The sequence below is a fragment of the Homo sapiens genome, chromosome 10 (genome assembly GCF_000001405.40).
Source record: "Homo sapiens chromosome 10, GRCh38.p14 Primary Assembly".
Taxonomy (NCBI): Eukaryota; Metazoa; Chordata; class Mammalia; order Primates; family Hominidae; genus Homo; species Homo sapiens.
This window is the reverse complement of record NC_000010.11, coordinates 36,482,940-36,500,959: the sequence shown is the minus strand read 5'-3', so window position 1 is coordinate 36,500,959 and position 18,020 is coordinate 36,482,940. Positions and strand designations below refer to the sequence as shown.

The 18,020-nt window shown below is 38.4% G+C and overlaps 2 annotated features.

The window, feature by feature from the left end:
• Positions 5,886 to 7,085: an enhancer, noted in NCBI's record as "P300/CBP strongly-dependent group 1 enhancer chr10:36782803-36784002 (GRCh37/hg19 assembly coordinates)". NCBI's record gives its function as "activates an origin of replication core promoter dependent on BRD2, BRD4, P300/CBP, MED14 and CDK7 cofactors, with strong dependence on P300/CBP, by STARR-seq in HCT116 cells {active_cell/tissue: HCT116}" and the evidence as "EXISTENCE:reporter gene assay evidence [ECO:0000049][PMID:35650434]".
• Positions 16,437 to 16,938: an enhancer, noted in NCBI's record as "NANOG hESC enhancer chr10:36772950-36773451 (GRCh37/hg19 assembly coordinates)". NCBI's record gives its function as "activates a minimal SCP1, AML or CMV promoter by ChIP-STARR-seq in naive H9 embryonic stem cells {active_cell/tissue: H9 hESC(naive)}" and the evidence as "EXISTENCE:reporter gene assay evidence [ECO:0000049][PMID:30033119]".

Sequence of the window (18,020 nt, the reverse complement as noted above, 5' to 3'; positions counted from 1 at the left end):
TGGCCAAAAATCTTAAAAATCCTAAAACAAATCTCTATCAAGTCTCTAAGAAAAAAAAAGTTATTTTTCTGTTACTTTTCTTCATTATCCTAAAGAGAAAAAGGACACATGATTATAGTAGAATCATAACTTCAAGCTTAACAAAGTTCTAAACACATTGACTGAATTTAGAGGATTTTTGGTTTTCCGTAAATGGAAAACACTTCCAAATAACACTCCTACTTCAATTGGGAGTGTGAGAGACATTCTACATGGCTTTTAATCCTTCTTGGAATCTGCCAAAAAAAAAAAAAAATCAACTAAATTCCTCACTTCCATAGTATTTTGGTAATAGAATGCTATAAAAAAAGTAATAGCCAGCATTCTATTACAAGCTGTCTCCTAGTTCACTTTAGTGTCTAAATAAACAAAAGTCTTGTCAAAAGATCATTTTTAACTCAATGCTATCGCAGTGCAGAATGAACTTGCAGCAGACATAGCTAATATAGGATTCAAAGGAGATACAAGATTTCCCCTTAGAAAGCTTTGTATTTCCCAACAGAAGCAGCATGGGACTAGAAGTCAACTGTAACCTAATAAGTTTGCCAAATATAAACACACAGAATATAAGAGGGGTGGTGTATTACTGAAAATACAACTTAATGTGTTAAAAATGTGGATTGATATCAAACCTGAAAATAGAACTTTGAGTCTTTATACTTACTTCCTCTGAATTTAAAATATTTTATTGATGATTTAAAAATCATAGAAAGCGAAACTTTTGTAGTAATAACTACTGAAAGCCACCTTATATTTCATTTCTTGAAACTGATCTCATTTGATAACTGAAGCACTTTTTAGTCCAGATTCTCCTGCCTGTTATTTTTCCTTTTTTCTTTCTTTTTCTGGATTTTTCTCTCAAGCTTCCAATTTATAAACTATAAGTATTTCCTAAAGATTTAGAACCCAACAGTCTGCTCCTACCTCATTCCTTTTCATATTCTTAGTATTAAATACAGATGAGTGGTTTTTAACTTCATGACTCATTTCCATTTATTTGACACATAAACCTGTATCTGCAATTCATATTTCCTTTCTACCAGTCACTCACTAATCTTTTTGCTGTCCAGATGGTCCATCACCATTCTAAACTCCACATGCCTCAGCACCATGACTTAGTCCCATTTCTTAGCAGAGACAAGTACTTCTCACATTTTTTTTTTTTTTCTGAGACAGACTCTTGCTCTGTTGCCCAGGCTGGAGCACAGTGGCACAATCTCGACTCACTATAACCTCCCCATCCCAGATTCAAGCAATTCTCCTGCCTCAGCCTCCCAAATAGCTGGGACTACAGGCGCCAGCCACCATGCCTGGCTAATTTTTGTATTTTTAGTAGAGATAGAGTTTCACCATATTGGTCAGGCTGGTCGAGACCTCAGGTAATCCACCTGCCCCAGCCTCCCAAAGTGCTGGGATTACAGGCATGAGCTACCACGCCCAGCCACTTCTCACATTTTATATCACCAAGAAGAAAAAGATTTCACCGGTGTTCTTTCTTAATTACTTCCATTGCTTGGAATAGCCTAGCCCTTTTGTATGGACTTTCATCATGAATATTTTACTCCTCTAAACTACCTTGAATAGTTCTGCTAAATCATGTTCTTAAAATACTGGTTTTACGATAGCACCACTAAATTAAAAACTTTTTAAAGACTCTTCAGTAGCTAGCCTATAGAACTGATGAGCTGTCAGCAGCCACAGCTTGATCTGTGTCCTTTAAGGTTGTATTATACAGTCTTGTCTAAGGCCAGCACCCCACCTCCTAGCCAGAAGGCGGTCCCCTGCTCTTTCCGTCCACATAAACTCTACCAGTTTTTCAGAAAGCCCTGTTTTTCTGTAGTATCTTTTCTAACATCACCAATTCTTCTGTGCATTTGCAGTGGAGTTGGCTGACTTGTTAATTATACCTAGGAACACTGGTTGTACTTAGTTTCTAATGTGCCTCTCTTGGCTTTTCAATTTAAGTATATATATTGCACATGCAGGAATTGTGAAGAAATATTGTGTGTACCCCATAATGAAACCAGTGTCATGCACACAGTGGGTATGTAACAAATATCTATTCAATACATTTAATTGAAATCAACACACATTTACAAAGTTTCTATTAGAGTCTACTTACATGGACATACAGAAAAATAATTTGAAGCCCCTACACTTAAGGTTTTATAATTCATGGAAACACAACTTCATGGAGAAAAATATAAAAGAAAAAAATTGGTCATAGTTCTATAGATTTTTGGTTATCTGAAATCCACTTGGAGTATGCAAATTTCTCTCTGTAATGATTAGAAAATTATATAAGTTAAATTGATTATCTGTAGTAGACAGATCATTGGCCTTCTCGTATTGCACTTGCAATTTCAATACATTCCAATGGTGAGCACCTGTGACTCTCTGCCTGAAGGGTTTCTTTTTTTTTTGAGACTGAGTCTCACTCTGTTGACCACGGCTAGAGTGCGGTGGTGCAATCTCAGCTCACTGCAACCTCCACCTTCTGAGTTCAAGTGATTCTCCTGCCTCAGGCTCCCAAGTAGCTGGGACTGCAGGCATGCACCACCACACCCGATGAGATTTTGTATTTTTAGTAGAGACAGGGTTTCACCATGTTGGCCAGGCTGGTCTCAAACTCCTGACCTCAGGTGATGCACCCTCCTTGGCCTCCCAAAGTGCTGGGATTACAGGCATGAGCCACTGTGCCCAGCCTGCCTGAAGGGTTTCTTAGGTCCCCCAGAACCTATTAGGGCAGGAGTGTGCACTCCAGAAAGGTCAGGAAGTTAACTTTCCAGGAAGCCAACCTCGACCAATGAGCATCAGGAGTCAGTGTTTAAATATCCCCCAGTTTTGGCTCCCTGGGAGGAACAACTGTTCTACTTTTCTTAAAGATCCCAGCAGGATATAATCCCAGTTGTCCTTAGTACTAGCCCCTTCCAAATCCTTCCTTCTTCTCTCGTCTACTTTCTCACTCTGTTTCCAATTCAGGGGGTCACTTCCCGTGGAACTTACAAGCATCCAAAAACTCATCTTAGGTTGTGCTTCTAGGGAAGCCCCACCAGAGACATTGTGTACATCACAGAGTGGGGCCAATTTAATAGAGCCGGCAGTTAGAGATGGTGTTCCATATGAGTGCCTTCATGTTTTCTGAACCTGGCCCTTATCCAAAAACTACAGTATTTTTTTTTTCTTCTGAGGGTATATTGAAATGTACAAGAACTTGGTCTCTGTGGTCAGAATAGCATTTGCTGAAATCCTGGTTCTACCTTGTACCTTAGGTAACTTTGTTAAACTCCTTTAAGATCAAGTATCCTCATAGGTAGAAGAGGAATAATGATGATCTCTACCATACAGGGTTGCAATGAGGATTAAATAAAAATATGCATATGAATAATTTAGCATGGTGCTGGGCACAGGAACAATAAATGTTAATTGCTAGTTTTATCAAAGAATTTAAAGCATCCTGAAGCACCTTTCATCTTGAAAGCATAGAATGCTTCAGAATGCGGTGATTTTTATACTAAGAAATTCAACTTCAGATTGATGCCTTAGAACATAAATTGTTGGAAGCCCATATATACTCAGAGCAGTATATTCTTCAAAAGCTTGTCTGTGACCGATTATTTGAAGGTGATGGTTGAATCTGATGGCAGCAGAGTGCTGGGGGCTGAATGTGGGTTCCACAAATATAATCCTGAGCAATTTCTGAAAGCCCTACAATGAATCATTGTTAAGATTCCCAATTTAATAAAATAATTCTGTGAGTGTATTGCACAGAATAAATATTTAGACAATCAATCATTGGCACTTTGAGATTCAAATACTTTATATTACAATTGAGGTTACAAAATATGTTTAAGGAAATATTAGAGATTGTTTACTTCAGATAAATATTTTCCACAGAGACATAAATTGGCTGGAGATTTTTCATGGAAAAACAGATTCCATTTATTTTTCTCTTAGTGATATGAACTTTTGTTCCTTTTTCTGTTATTATTTCTGGGTGGGTACAGAGCTCATGATTTATGTGAGAAGCTATTGGAATATCACACAAGAAATTGTTGGAAAATATTTTAGTCTAAAAGTTGTTGTAACAACATTCCGAAACAAGAAAGATTTTAGTATAATTGAGAGATTTTTCTTTTGTTTTCATTAGATAGCTTAATGAAATACTTCATTGGTTTCATGGAAATCAGAGATGCCAAGGTCTCTCCCACATCTTCTGTGTAATCTTCCTTCCAACACTGAATATTTCATCAAGTTTTCCTTCAATTTTTAGTTCATGCTATCAAAACACCTCCTTTCTCCTTTAACTTCATTCTATAATTCAGATTGTGCTGCAAATATTATTGCTTTCAAATGAATCTCTAGGCTGGGCATGGTAGCTCACACCTGTAATCCCACCACTTTGGGAGGCCGAGGTGGGCAGATCACCTGAGGTCAGGAGTTCAAGACCAGCCTGGCCAACATGATGAAACCCCGTCTCTACTAAAAATACAAAAATCAGCTGGGCATGGTGGTGCACACTTGTAATCCCAGCTACTCAGTAGGCTGAGGCAGGGGAATTGCTTGAACCTGGGAGACAGAGGTTGCAGTGGGCCAAAATCGCTCCCCTGCACTCCAGCCTGGGTGACAGAGTAAGACTGCATCTCAAAAAAGAAAAAGAAAAAGAAAAAAAAAAGCCTCTATATATTAATAAATATTTTTAATGTTTGCTTTTCTCCCAGTATAAAGAAAGTTAAGTGTTGAAATAGAGAATTAAATAGGCAGATAAACAAAGATATGATTAAACTATTTCTTCCATAGTCAAATATTGGGAGGGGTCAAAATATTTTAAGATATTCCCTAACTATAAGTAAATAAAACATAGATATGTGACAAATGCATGCTGAGGACAAAGAGGTACAGACCCAAGAAGAGAACATGCCACCAGCGACCTCATTGGCAGTCATTAGGCGCAGACCTCTCTGTTACCCGTATTTTTTTTCTGGCTGCTCTAGGTGTCTGCCTGTTTCTGTTGTGCTTCTATGATCTGTTTCTTACAGCTGGGTCTCTCTCATCTATTGACTTTGCAGTGAAAAGACTTGGGTCCCAACAATAAGAAGAGTTAAGTGTTTTAGGTGATGGATATCCCAATTACCCTGATTTGATCATTGTATATTGTATGCATGTATCAAAATGTCACAGACCCCTGAGATATTTACAACTATCATGTATCAATTAACAAATTTTTAAAAATTAAATAAAAAAAAAGACAAGACAGATTCAAATCAAGGCTCTGGCACTTAACTATTTGTGTGACCTTCACATGCTAATTAAACTCATAGAGCACCAGTATGTAATTCTGTTAAAAATGAGGCTAGTAATCTACTCACAAAGTTCTGGTGAGAAGTAAATGTAATGATGTAACAGAGTCTAACATGACACCTGGGAGAAACTCAAGAAATATTAGATGCATTCTCCCTCTTGCCCACTGTGGAGCACGATGTGGCAATATAACCTTTAATTATATTCTCCCTGAAGATAGCTGTTTTGTAATTTTATTGTTTCCCTGATAGTAACTAAGAGACATTTGAGACTAAATGCCTCCACTTTCTGTTCCTTATCCTATGGACCACCTTCCTTCATCCTATGGCCGACCTTCATCCAATCACCCTTGCTTTTGGGAAGAAACAAGTCAAACAGTAAGTTTTCCAGGATTACACAAACATATAGTAAAATAATGTGAGTATGTGGAAAAATAGACTTAGAACTTGGAGTCTAAAATTCAAGAACAAGATCATGAATTCTCTAAGCCTTAGTCTTCTTGTCTTTAAATGGAAACAATGCTTTTCCTATCTTCCTCCAAAAGTATTTTAGTATCAAATTAAATCCTTTGATATGAACATATTTTAATGTATTTCAAACAATGTACACACACAAGTTTATGAAATTTACATTCAAAGCAAACCACACAAGTTAGCCAATGAAGATTTCACACTAGGACAACCATGAAAATATGCAGAATACAGGGGCTCCCGCTCCCCTATATCACACAAATTTCTGACTCCTGAAGGCCCTAACGTGGAACAAGGTAGGCAAGAAGCAAAAAGCAGGGGATTATTTCAAACAAAAGGACGAGTGTTAATGGAACTGAGAGTGGAGACTCAACTCCAGCAGTGAAAATATGAAAAAAAAGATGGATTTTGTGGCCACTGGAATCTCTTAGCAGGCAGAGACTAACAATATCTCAAGGATATGTAAGCTGAAAGCAGTACATATTAAAATCCAAAGTGATTTGTTTGCACTGACTCATTAAATCCATCATCAACTAGCTGATGACTCAAAAATCCCACTCACAACTTCTCATCTTTGTCCATTAGTAGGTGTGGCTGCAGCAAGCACTCAGTAGCACAGACAGTGCTGGTAGTGTTGACGTCTTGATGGGATGGAAGTTTTCTGTTGATTCTCAGCCATGTCTTTATTTTTATAGCAGCCATCTGGACGCCAACAGTGCTAATATACTGCAAATCCTCTTCTTTTCATCCATGCCATTAAAGAGAGAAAACACAACATACGCACACCACACATATCCTTTCCTTTGAGTAGTTCTATGTAGGCGTGGTGAGAAATGCCTACAGGCAGGTACCAGAAGTGAAAAATCATCCTCTATGAGAATTTCTATTTCAAGGTAGAGTGCGGGACAACCAGGTCTAATGTGCTTGGACAGTGCCAGAACCGGCAAGTCAGAGAGAATGGAGCTTTGCTGAGGCATAGAGTATGAGGGAGAAATAATTTTTCAGCTGTGGAGGGTCAGAAGGCAGCCCAAGCGCACAAAGTGCACAGCGGTACTGCCAGTTATACAGTTTAAAACACTCTTTAAAGGTTCCACTCTTTTTCTGTTATCAAGGAAAATAAGATATGGGGGAGGGGGTTAGCGGCTGGCAATTAGACAGAGGAAGGAGAAGCTGGATATTTGCTTTGAAAGTGATGACTTTTTAGGTGAAGAAAATTTCATCATTTTGGTACATATTTGATTTCTTTAAACCAGCCTTAATCAATCAGTAAAGACATGGCATCCTTTCTAAGCTTCCCCTGCAATCAGGAATAAAATATTACAAATTCATTATTATCACAATAAAATTTAAAAATTGGAAGTCACATACAAACCTGAATGACAGAAAAGCTATTTGATGTATTTTAACAGCGAGATAATGCATTTACAAAGCAACATATTTTCCTATGTTGAGTTCCTTCAAAATTAAATTTATGGACCAGTCATACATTCCAAAAGTGGAAGGTCACTGTGATGTCTAAGTGTATCATATGACTTCAGGGGTTCAGACATGGCAATTCTTTCTCCTGATGCATTAATTGTATAATTGGAGAGGGTAAGTATTAAATATCAAAAATCAGTATATTTATCTTAATTTTGGATATATTTTGAATTATTTACTGACAATTATAGTTTCAAGTAGAAAAGCATAGAAGTGTTTGTTAATGATTCTGGAACACAAAGCCAAGACAACTTCGTATAGTTACCAAAAGGGACAGCAGTTTGGCATATGTCAGCTTCTGGCTCCAACTGGTCTAAGTGGAAAACACACACACACACACACACACACACACACACTGCCTGCAAAGAAAGTAGTGATCCTGGTCCTGCTATGAGCTGAACATTGAATTTTATGCAAATCAGCTCAGTTTCCTTGTCTGGAAACTTGCAATTTACTATCCCCATATCTATTCTACCTACCTCAAACAACAGATATGAAAAGAAGTTACAAACTTATATAGAAGTGGACTGAAAAATAAAGCAAGTTCTACTAGAGAACAGCTACAGAAGGTTCTATTATGATTATTTATTTGGTTTAATGACTCACAGGAATCGTGCTCACCATGGCTTCATGGCAGAGCTGTAACATTTTTCCTGGTCCTGAGCCCACTTTGACTTGGATGCTCTGCAGTCTGGGTTTTTATGGCAGAGACGTTCTGACTCTAGGTGAAGTGAGATGTGAATTTGGATATTTTTTGCAGTTTTCCACAGAAGAGAATTGACCTTTTCAAAACATCAGCCCAGTTCTTTAAAAAGTGGATGCTATTTCTTCTATTATGGGATTCAATCACTTTCCCAGGCAATGAAATAATTGTAGCATGGCATTTTATCAGGAGATGGAGCTAGCTCTCTTGATTTTTCTCAAACAAGTGACAAAAGGTTTTGTAAAAGGTCAGATCACTTTGTGAGACACTCAGTCAAAGAAATAAGAACAAATCTAGGCCACTTTGGGTCGATGAGAGGCCTGATAATTTTTGGAGCACAGAGAAAAAGAAAAATAACCAATCCAACAAAATGGAGCAACATGGAATGTGGTGAAAATAAGGATGATTTTTCCTGCATGTACCCTCTTTATCCCTGTGGGCAATGTCCCTTCTGTATGGCTCAGCTTTCCATTATGGGTGACCATTTGGACAGTGAGCAATATCTCTGTATCACATGGGCTAACAAGCTGAAGTAACAGAATATTCTAGAAGCCTCGGCAGGAGTTGTATGGTAGACTGAGGGAGATCGAGACATAATGATGATATCATCCAGACCCTCTTCCTCCCTTGTTGAGCTTCATGGTGTTCTTCCTGGACTCCATTCCCCACTTAAAAATTCACTATTGGAAAGATATGAGATGAGTGACAAACGGCTGTAAGTACACAGGACAGCCCAGATGGCAGGTAGGAGAGTGGGGGCTCTGACATAAGAACTAAATGCATCTTACATGTGTGGAGGGAGTGCTGTGTATAACTGGGAACTCCCCTCCCCAGGGACCTGAGACAGTAGAGCAAAGAAGAATACTAGCATTCTCCTGTTTAGGGCCTGCTTTGTCCATTAGAAGGAGAAAGAATAATTCATTCTAACAAGTATTTCAGGCTTTCAGAACATGCTCTTTTAGAATTTGTTTAAATAATCAGTTTCATAGGTCTTTGAAAGTCATACAGAGCAAATAAAATAATTCTGCCTACTGTTCTCTCAGCTTTCCATGTGGGTTTTTGCTATGAGTTGTTACCTAATAACAAAATCTGTAGGATTTTGCTAAACAGACACATTATTCCACTACCAATGAAATTAATAAGAGTTTGAAACACATGCTTACGATACCATTATTGTTATTAATTCCCTAATAGACTGATCGATCACTTTCGATTAGGTGATTTTTTTATTGTTGTCTGTATTGTTCTTTTTATCGCCGACACCTACCAATGTACCTGATATGGCAATAGAAACTAAATAGATGTTTGTTGATAAATGAATAAACCCTTAACTATGTGTGAGACAATATAACAGGTGCCCATATAGAGGACGTGCACTTATATCTTTATATTCAGTGTCTTTATCTAGGAAATGAGAATGTTTGGACCTATTGTAGCTACCACACAGAGTTGGTCTAAAAACCAAACTCTAAATCTAAAAGGAAGTTCATTGAAAAATTAAAAGTGTTCTAAAATAAAATATGTCATTGTCCAGCAATTACATGACCATATTATGAATCATAGTGATGTCCCCCAAAACCTCATTGCATCTGTCAAAGTTGATTCCCATAGATGCTGGTCCTTTCCCAGATGGCACTATGTTAAAGAAGTCTTCATCTCAGTTCAGTTCTCATTTTTTTTTTTTTTTTTTTTGAGACAGAGTCTTGCTCTGTCGCCCAGGCTGGAGTGCAGTGGTGAGATCTCGGCTCACTGCAAGCTCCGCCTCTCGGGTTCACGCCATTCTCCTGCCTCAGCCTCCTGAGTAGCTGGGACTTCTGGCACCCGCCACCATGCCCGGCTAATGTTTTGTATTTTTAGTAGAGACAGGGTTTCACCATGTTAGCCAGGATGGTCTTGATCTCCTAACCTCGTGATCCACCCGCCTTGGCCTCACAAAGTGCTGGGATTACAGGCGTGAGCCACCACACCCGGCCCAGTTCTCATCTTAATCTAAGGCACTGTATTCTAAAGAACAAGTCTACAACCAAGCTACTTGTTCATGTAATCATCTGGGAGTGGAAGATGGTCCACAAAGATAAATTTACAAATCAAATAGTGGTTATGAAATGTGCTGCCACAGGAAGACTCTTAGGAAATGCAAAAATAAGATAGGCTAAGGAAAATCAAAACAAGTAATCAGTTGAAATAAAGGGCATTGTGTGAAAACATAAGAAAAAGGAGTAACATGCTATGAGGATTTAATAGAAAGATAAGTAAATAACTCCATGGCAAGAAACTGGAATTAAACAATAGCAATTTCCCTCACAGGTCACACTCAAAACGCTGTTAACCTTTATCTCCTGTGCTGACTGAGACAGGAAGAAAGAAAAAAGGGAGCAGTCTGGAATGAATGAGAAACACAAAGAATGACTAGGCCAAAAAGGGAGAAGCTGGCAATACCTAAGGATAAACGGCAGAGAAGTTCAAGTGTGTAAACTCATGAGTAAATCCATGTAGGGGCCCTAGGGAGGAGAACTCTAGCTCTCATCTCAGACCTCCTGAAAGCAGCCATCAGTGTTATTTTAGTCTTGTTTTTGATGGCAAACCCTTACTGTTGCCCAAGGTCATGACCTTCAAGGGGGCAGTAGTTCACTAATATCCACTGGAGATGAGAATGGTTTGCAGACCTGTAATTAGAATAAAATGTGTAGAGATTTTTTACACGGGTTGTCCCAAAAGTGACTTTTTCTCCAGACACAACCCGGTAAGTGTTTTTCTGATGCCTACTTTTTCATTATAATGATGCCTCAGGGAATCCATGAAGGAAAAAGAAATTCAATCTGGCTATGAGTAAGAGTGCTGCTAGAAGAGCTTAACATTCTTTAGCACTTTTTTCTCCCTCAAAAAGGAAACAATGGACTTAAGTGTTTTTAAAAATGTGCTGACTTCTATCAGGGTTTTCGGATAAACTGATAGGAAGGCTACGGCTCCTAGGCCTTGCCCACTGGGCTTGGAGAGAAAATTCTCCCCAAGTTGGGTCCCCTCCTCTAAACAGGATTCAGTTCAAGGAGCTAGCCTCCCCTAGATCTCCTCCAAGTGGATGCACTCAGATGAGAGGCGCTGGTCTCACCATGCTCCCCTACTCCAGGACCTCCCCTGAAGGCCTGGCCTCATGGGTCCAGCCGAGAGGAACTCTACACAGTTATTTCTGGCCAAGAGTCATTGGCTCCAACCCAGCAAGAAAATATTTCCTGATTCTTTTTTATTTTCAAGCTAAGGTCAAAAGAACTTTAGAATCCAACAGAGGGTTTTCCAGTATCTTTCACTTGTTCTGTGTGCAGGACAACAGCTTGAAGGAAAGGAGGGTTCCTGTTCTCACTTTGACAGATGGCATGTCACACCTCAGAAAAAGGGGCTGAGCAGAGCTATCACAGGCACTGTGAAATTATATGAATAATCAAAATGTTTTCTTTGAGTGGCCATACAATGACTTTCTTGTGAAAAAGTCAGAGACTAGTCGGGAAATGTACTCAAGAGTCTAGACTCTTTCAGCTACCACTTATTTAAAAGAGGAAGGAAGGCCAGGCGCGGTGGCTCACGCCTATAATCTCAGCACTTTGGGAGGCCGAGGCGGGTGGGTCAGGAGTTACAGACCAGCCTGGCATATGGTGAAACCCTGTCTCTACTAAAAATACAAAAATTAGACAGTCATGGTGATGTGCGCCTGTAATCCTAGCTACTCTGGAGCCTGAGACAGGAGAATTGCTTGGAGACAGAAGAATTGCTTGAACCCAGGAGGTGGAGGTTGCAGTGAGTTGAAATCGCACCACTGGACTCCAGCCTTGGCGACAGAGTGAGAATCCATCTCAAAAAAAAAAAAAAAAAAAAAAGCAAGGAAATGAGGGTGCAGGAGTGGGGAAAGTAGTGGTAGGGTGGGAGCTGAAAATTGTCCTGGTTCGGAAACAAATTGGTCTTAGGGAAATGCAAGTCAGAATGACAATGAGATACCGCTTCACACCCATTAGCATGGCTGTGATTAAAAAACTAACAACCAAACAAACGAAAAAACAGAAAATAAATATTGGTGCAGATTGGAGAAATGTGAATCCTCTACATAGGTGGTGGAGTGTAAAATGGTGCAGCTGCTGTGGAAAACAGTAAGGCTATCCCTCAAAACACTAAATATAGAATTATCACGTGACTTGGAAATGCCACTGCTGAGCACGTGCCTCAAAGAATTGAAAGCAGAGACTTGGGCAGATATCTGTATACCCATGTTAATAGCAGCATTACTTAATAATACCCAAAACAATCCAAATACTCATTGATAGATGCACGGATAAACAATATATGGTAAATAGGCATATTGAAATATTATTCAGCCTTAAAAGAGGAGGAATTCTGAAACATGCTACATGAAAGAACCTTGAAAACAACATGCTAAGTGACACAAGCCAAACACAAAAGGAAATAGGTTGTATGAGTCCGTTTATGGGAAGTATTATGCCTAGCATAATCATATTTCTAGAGACAAAAAGTAGAATGGAGGTTGGAAAACTGAATCATAACAGTTTTCCAAATGTACAGCCCTCTGGAGGGAAGGGGAAATAGGGAGTTATTGTTTAATGTGTACAGAGCTTCAGTTTGGGAAGAAAAAAATTCTGAAGATGAATGGCGGTGATGGTTGGATTATAGTGCAAATGTACTTAATGCTACTGTACTATATGCTTAAAATGGTAAATTTGATATCCTTTAATGTGGTATATTTTTGCTAGATATACACACACAGATTTGGTAGCTTCACCAAAAGCAGAGTTTCTCCACTGCCGTTTATATACCAATGCCACCCTCGGGAATCTTCAGTTATGACATTTCTATGTTCAGTATCCTCCACCAGGCAGCAAGCAGCACTCACACACATTTGATAAGGAAGGCCTCATTCTCTTTGCCCTGCCAAGAAAAAATTGAGAGCAAGACTGTAGAAGATACAATTCCACTGTTTAAAGAACTTTCAATACAAATATATATCTAAATATTTGAATAAATCACATTACTGTCATGATTTTAAATGTACATTGATATGTAATGTTTTTCCCCACAGAAGACCTGTGGCTCAATAGAACAGGAAATAGGGTCCCCTCTATAAAGATGAAGGCTCTATAGACTGAAAGCTCTTTGGTAATGCAACTAGGAAGAGAGTAAAGGGACTGAAATTTAGTTTCCAACTATATTACTATATTCCACAGTGTCTTATTTCGTATGGGAAGGCTGAGTTAAACAGTTGCATAGGGTAAGCCAGAGATTTAAATCAAGCCACAGGATTAATTTCCTTAAATTGCAGGCTGCATTGAGGACAACCTTATAAATATCATCTATTTTATTCCTCACCGTAATCTCAGTGCTTAGAAAGATACCTGGCACAAGGTGGATGTTCAGCAAATATTTACTGGCACAATTAAGGGACCTTAAGCTTTACATTTTCTGAGAGAAGAACACTGTTGTTATATGGAAAATTAACTATAAGATAAGGTCTTCAGAACTGTAGGCTTGTTTCGATTTTGGAAAATAACATTCATACAGAAAAAATGTATAAATCATATATGTAAGTTGTAATCAGTAAAGGGAATGGGAAAAATTTTAAAAAACACTTTAAACAGGTCAAAATAATGAGAACATGACAAACATCCCAGAACCTGCCTTCGTCCTCCTTATCATCACCTCCTCCTCCATGTCCCCTGGAGCCAAACACTTTCCTAATGTTACAATAATTGCCTTCTTCTTTGGTTTTATATTTCCACTGCCTGTGTGTATCTCATTAAACACTGTATTTTAGGCTGGGCGCGGTGGCTCACGCCTGTAATGCCAGCACTTTGGGAGGCCGAGGTGGGCGGATCACGAGGTCAGGAGATCGAGACCATCCTGGCTAACATGGTGAAACACCATCTCCACTAAAAATACAAAAAATTAGCTGGGCATGGTGGCTTGCGCCTGTAGTCCCAGCTACTGGGGAGGCTGAGGCAGGAGAATGGTGAGAACCTGGGAGGCGAAGCTTGCAGTGAGCCGAGATCGCCCCACTGCACTCCAGCCTGGGAGACAGCGAGACTCCGTCTCAAGAAAAAAAAAAAAAAAACACTGTATTTTAGTTTCCTTCGTTTGGAGTTCCATCTGAATGGAATTGTGCTATGTATATCACACTATCTGTTGCTTCCTCTGATTGACCTATGTCTGTGACATTCACCTCTGTTGTAGGTACTAAGGAGCAGTTTTCTATTTTTTGTGTAACATTCCACTGTATGACTATCACTTAATATTTTATCTATCATAGCATTAGAGAGCTTTTAGACTTCTTCCCATGTTGGGCTCTTGTGAAAAATGCTGCTATGAACATTATTTCATATTATTCATGATGTGCATACTTCAAGGGTCTATCCAGGGCGTATTCCCAAGAGTGCAGTTGTTAACTCATGATATATATCTTCAGATTATTAAATAACAACAGTTTTCCAAGGCACTTGTATCTGCTTAAAGTTTCACAAGCAATGAATGAGAGTTACTTTACATCCTGGCCGATATTTTAATTGTATGTAATTTTGTATTTTAGGGTTTTAATTTGCATTTGGTGATTATTAATACTTTTATTACATACGTCATATTTGCATACACATATGTTTAATGTATTTGTGTGTACTATATATGTGTGTATATATTTATATATATAAATTTGTGCATGTGTAAGTGCATATAATTTGGGTCTTTTATAAAAAGTATCTATTCAAGTTTTTGTCCAATGTTTTATGGGGTTATCTGTTTTTCTTTTTGTTTGTAGAAGTTACTTATAGATACTGAAAACTAATCCATTGTCAGTTTTATATAAAACAAATGTCTTTTCTGAATTGATATTTTGCCTTTTTTACTCTCTTAATGGTGACTTTTGATGAATACAAGATTCTAATTTTAAGTCACAAATGTATCAATCTTTCATATCATAACTTGTGCTTTCTGTGCAGAACAAGGGAATTATCATACTCTCTTATATTACATAGTACATGAAAGCACTAATTATGATAGAAAAGACATTATATAGATTTGTGACATCAAAATTAGAATCTCTATTCAACGTGAAAGGAAAAACAGAGAAATGTTTAGTATATAATATAATCCTGAAATTGCTTTATTTGGCTGGGGTGAGATACTGTATCTTTTTCTAAATGAGTATTCAGTTATCAGCACTACTTATTCAAGAGTCAATTTTCCCATTTCTGACTTCATATTATGTATTATATTATCTGCTTAAGACTCTCTACTCATTCACTTCAACACAGAGTGTTCTGTAGGTCAGGCACTGCTCACCAATAAACAATGCAGAACATGTGGAATGACTTTCTGCCCTCATGGAGTGTGTGCATTTGTAAGAAGAATCAGATAGCAAACAATGGACATAGTAAATAAATAAGTTGTTCAAATATATATGTATTTTGAGAAAGGGTCTCGCTATGATGCCCAGGCTGGTCTCCAACTCCTGGGCTCAGATATCCTCTTGCCTCAGCCTCCCAAGTAGCTGGGACTAAAACAGGGACCACAACGCCTAGCCTCTGTTTAAATATTATAGGATGATAAGTACTATACAAAAAGAGAAAAAGTAGTCCTGGGGAGGAACAGAGGGGTTGAGTAGTTTTCAATTTAAATTGGATTGGTCAGAGTAAGTGCATTGAAAAGTGATCATCAAGCGAAGCGCAGTGGCTCACGCCTGTAATCCCAGCACTTTGGGAGGCTGAGGCAGGCGGATCATGAGGTCAGGAGATCGAGACCATCCTGGCTAACACGGTGAAACCCCGTCTCTACTAAAAATACAAAAACATTAGCCGGGCGTGGTGGCAGGCACCTGTAGTCCCAGCTACTTGGGAGGCTGAGGAAGGAGAATGGTGTGAACCTGGGAGGCTGAACTTGCAGTGAGCCAAGATTGCACCACTGCAGTCCAGCCTGGGCGACAGAGCGAGACTCCATATCAAAAAAAAAAACAAAAAAAGAAAGAAAGGTGGTCATCAAAGAGTGAATAAGATGAGGAAGTTATTATAGCAGTATGGGCATCCAAAAGAAGAGCATTCGCAGTGACTAGGCCTACAGGCAGCTGCAGACCTGGCAGATTAATGAGACAGCAAAAAGACCAGTGATATTAGTAGGAGCAGAGGCCACAAAATGATGGGACAGGTTTTGCAAGGTTCTAGGGCATCATAAGGACTTTAAGCCATTGCAGAGAGGAGCAATCAGATTTATGTTTCAAAGAATCCTTCTGGCAGCTGGTTGAAGAAAAGACCGGGTCTGGGGTAAAAAGGAAAGCAGGGAGATCAATTAGGGGACGATTGCAGAAGTATATGTCAGATATGATCACAATTCTGACCAGATGGTTCAAATGGACGTAGGAAAGAAGAGGTCAATGCTGTGTATTTTAAAAGTAGAGTCAACAGAATATATAACTAGATTGATATGGCATATGAAAGAAAAGGATGAGTAAGAGTGAGCCTGGGTTGGTGTTTGGGAGAATGATTAGAAATCTAATGTTGGATACATGAAGTTTTAGTTGCTCATTGGGCCTCCAACTGGAAATACTGAAAATATATAGAGACGGTTGAGTCTCTAGTGCCAGAGAAGGGTGTGGGTTTCACATACAAATTCCTCATCCTATTCAATTTCTCTTTCCCTGAAGCAAATCTACATTTTCTTAAATACCTAGCTGTGTAAGTACAGTAAGACATTACATGTGAAAAGGCATTCCTCCCATCTTATGTTTTCTTCTCAAGAGCATCTTAACTATTCATGGCCCTTTGCATGCCCATAAAAATCTTCAAATAAGCTGGTCAAGTTTCATTTAAAAGCAAAAACAAAATGGGCAAAACCTCCTGATACTTTCAACGTAGTTGCTTTTAATCTATACCTCATTTTTGAGAAAATCAACAATTTAATAGTTTGGAGACTTCTGATCTTTGAGTATGGTTTCCCTCTCAATATTTGTAGGTCTTATTTAATATCTCAATGACATTTTATAATCTTTTCTGTAGACAATTTTTCCTGCTTTTGTAAAAGTTCTATAATCTCTATCCCTTTAGTATTTGCTGATATGTAGAAATACAATTGATTTTTGCTTAATAATTTATTTCCCAATAAACTTGCTAAAATAATTTGCACTTCCAGATTTAATATTTAAATAATTCTAATTTATAATTCTACTTTGTTCATAATAATAATATTCTTCTAGAGATCCTCTTACAACTTTTTTGCTCTTTTTTCCTTTATCATCCTGTTTCCTTTGTGCTTGAAGGAAGGGGAAGTTATTGCAATGGTTAATATCTGCAATAAACTATTGAGCTGAAATGGTGGTATCGGGCACCTTTGTCTTGATTCAATCCCAAAAAGAATACTGTCAATATTTTAGTGATAGGTACAATGTTAGCTGTAAGGTTTTTATAGATATGTTCTATTGGAAGAAGAAAGTTCAGTTCAATTATTTGTTTACTGTGAGGTTTTTGTTTTTACCATGGATGGATTTTGAATTTTACCCTATGTTTTTCTATGTTTGTTGAGATAATTTTAGGATTTTTATCTTTCTACTCTTAACATGATAATTACATCATTTTTAATATAAAAAATTCTACATTCCAGCTGGGCATGGTGGCTCACATCAGCGGAGGCTGATGTGGGTAGATCACAAGGTCAGGATATCAAGACCATTCTGGCTAACACAGTGAAACCCCATCTCCACTAAAAATACAAAACATTAGCTGGGCATGGTGGGAGGCACCTGTAGTCCCAGCTACTTGGGAGGCTGAGGCAGGAGAATGGCATGAACCTGGGAGGCAGAGGTTGCAGTGAGCCGAGACCACTCCACTGCACTCCAGCCTGGGCAACAGAGCAAGACTCCGTCTCAAAAAAAAAAAAAAATTCTACATTCCTAGGATAACTGATTTGGTCATGATATATTATTCCTTTATAATATATTGCTAGGTTAAGTTTGCTAACATTTAATTTAAGCTTTTTTGCATTTATTTTCATGA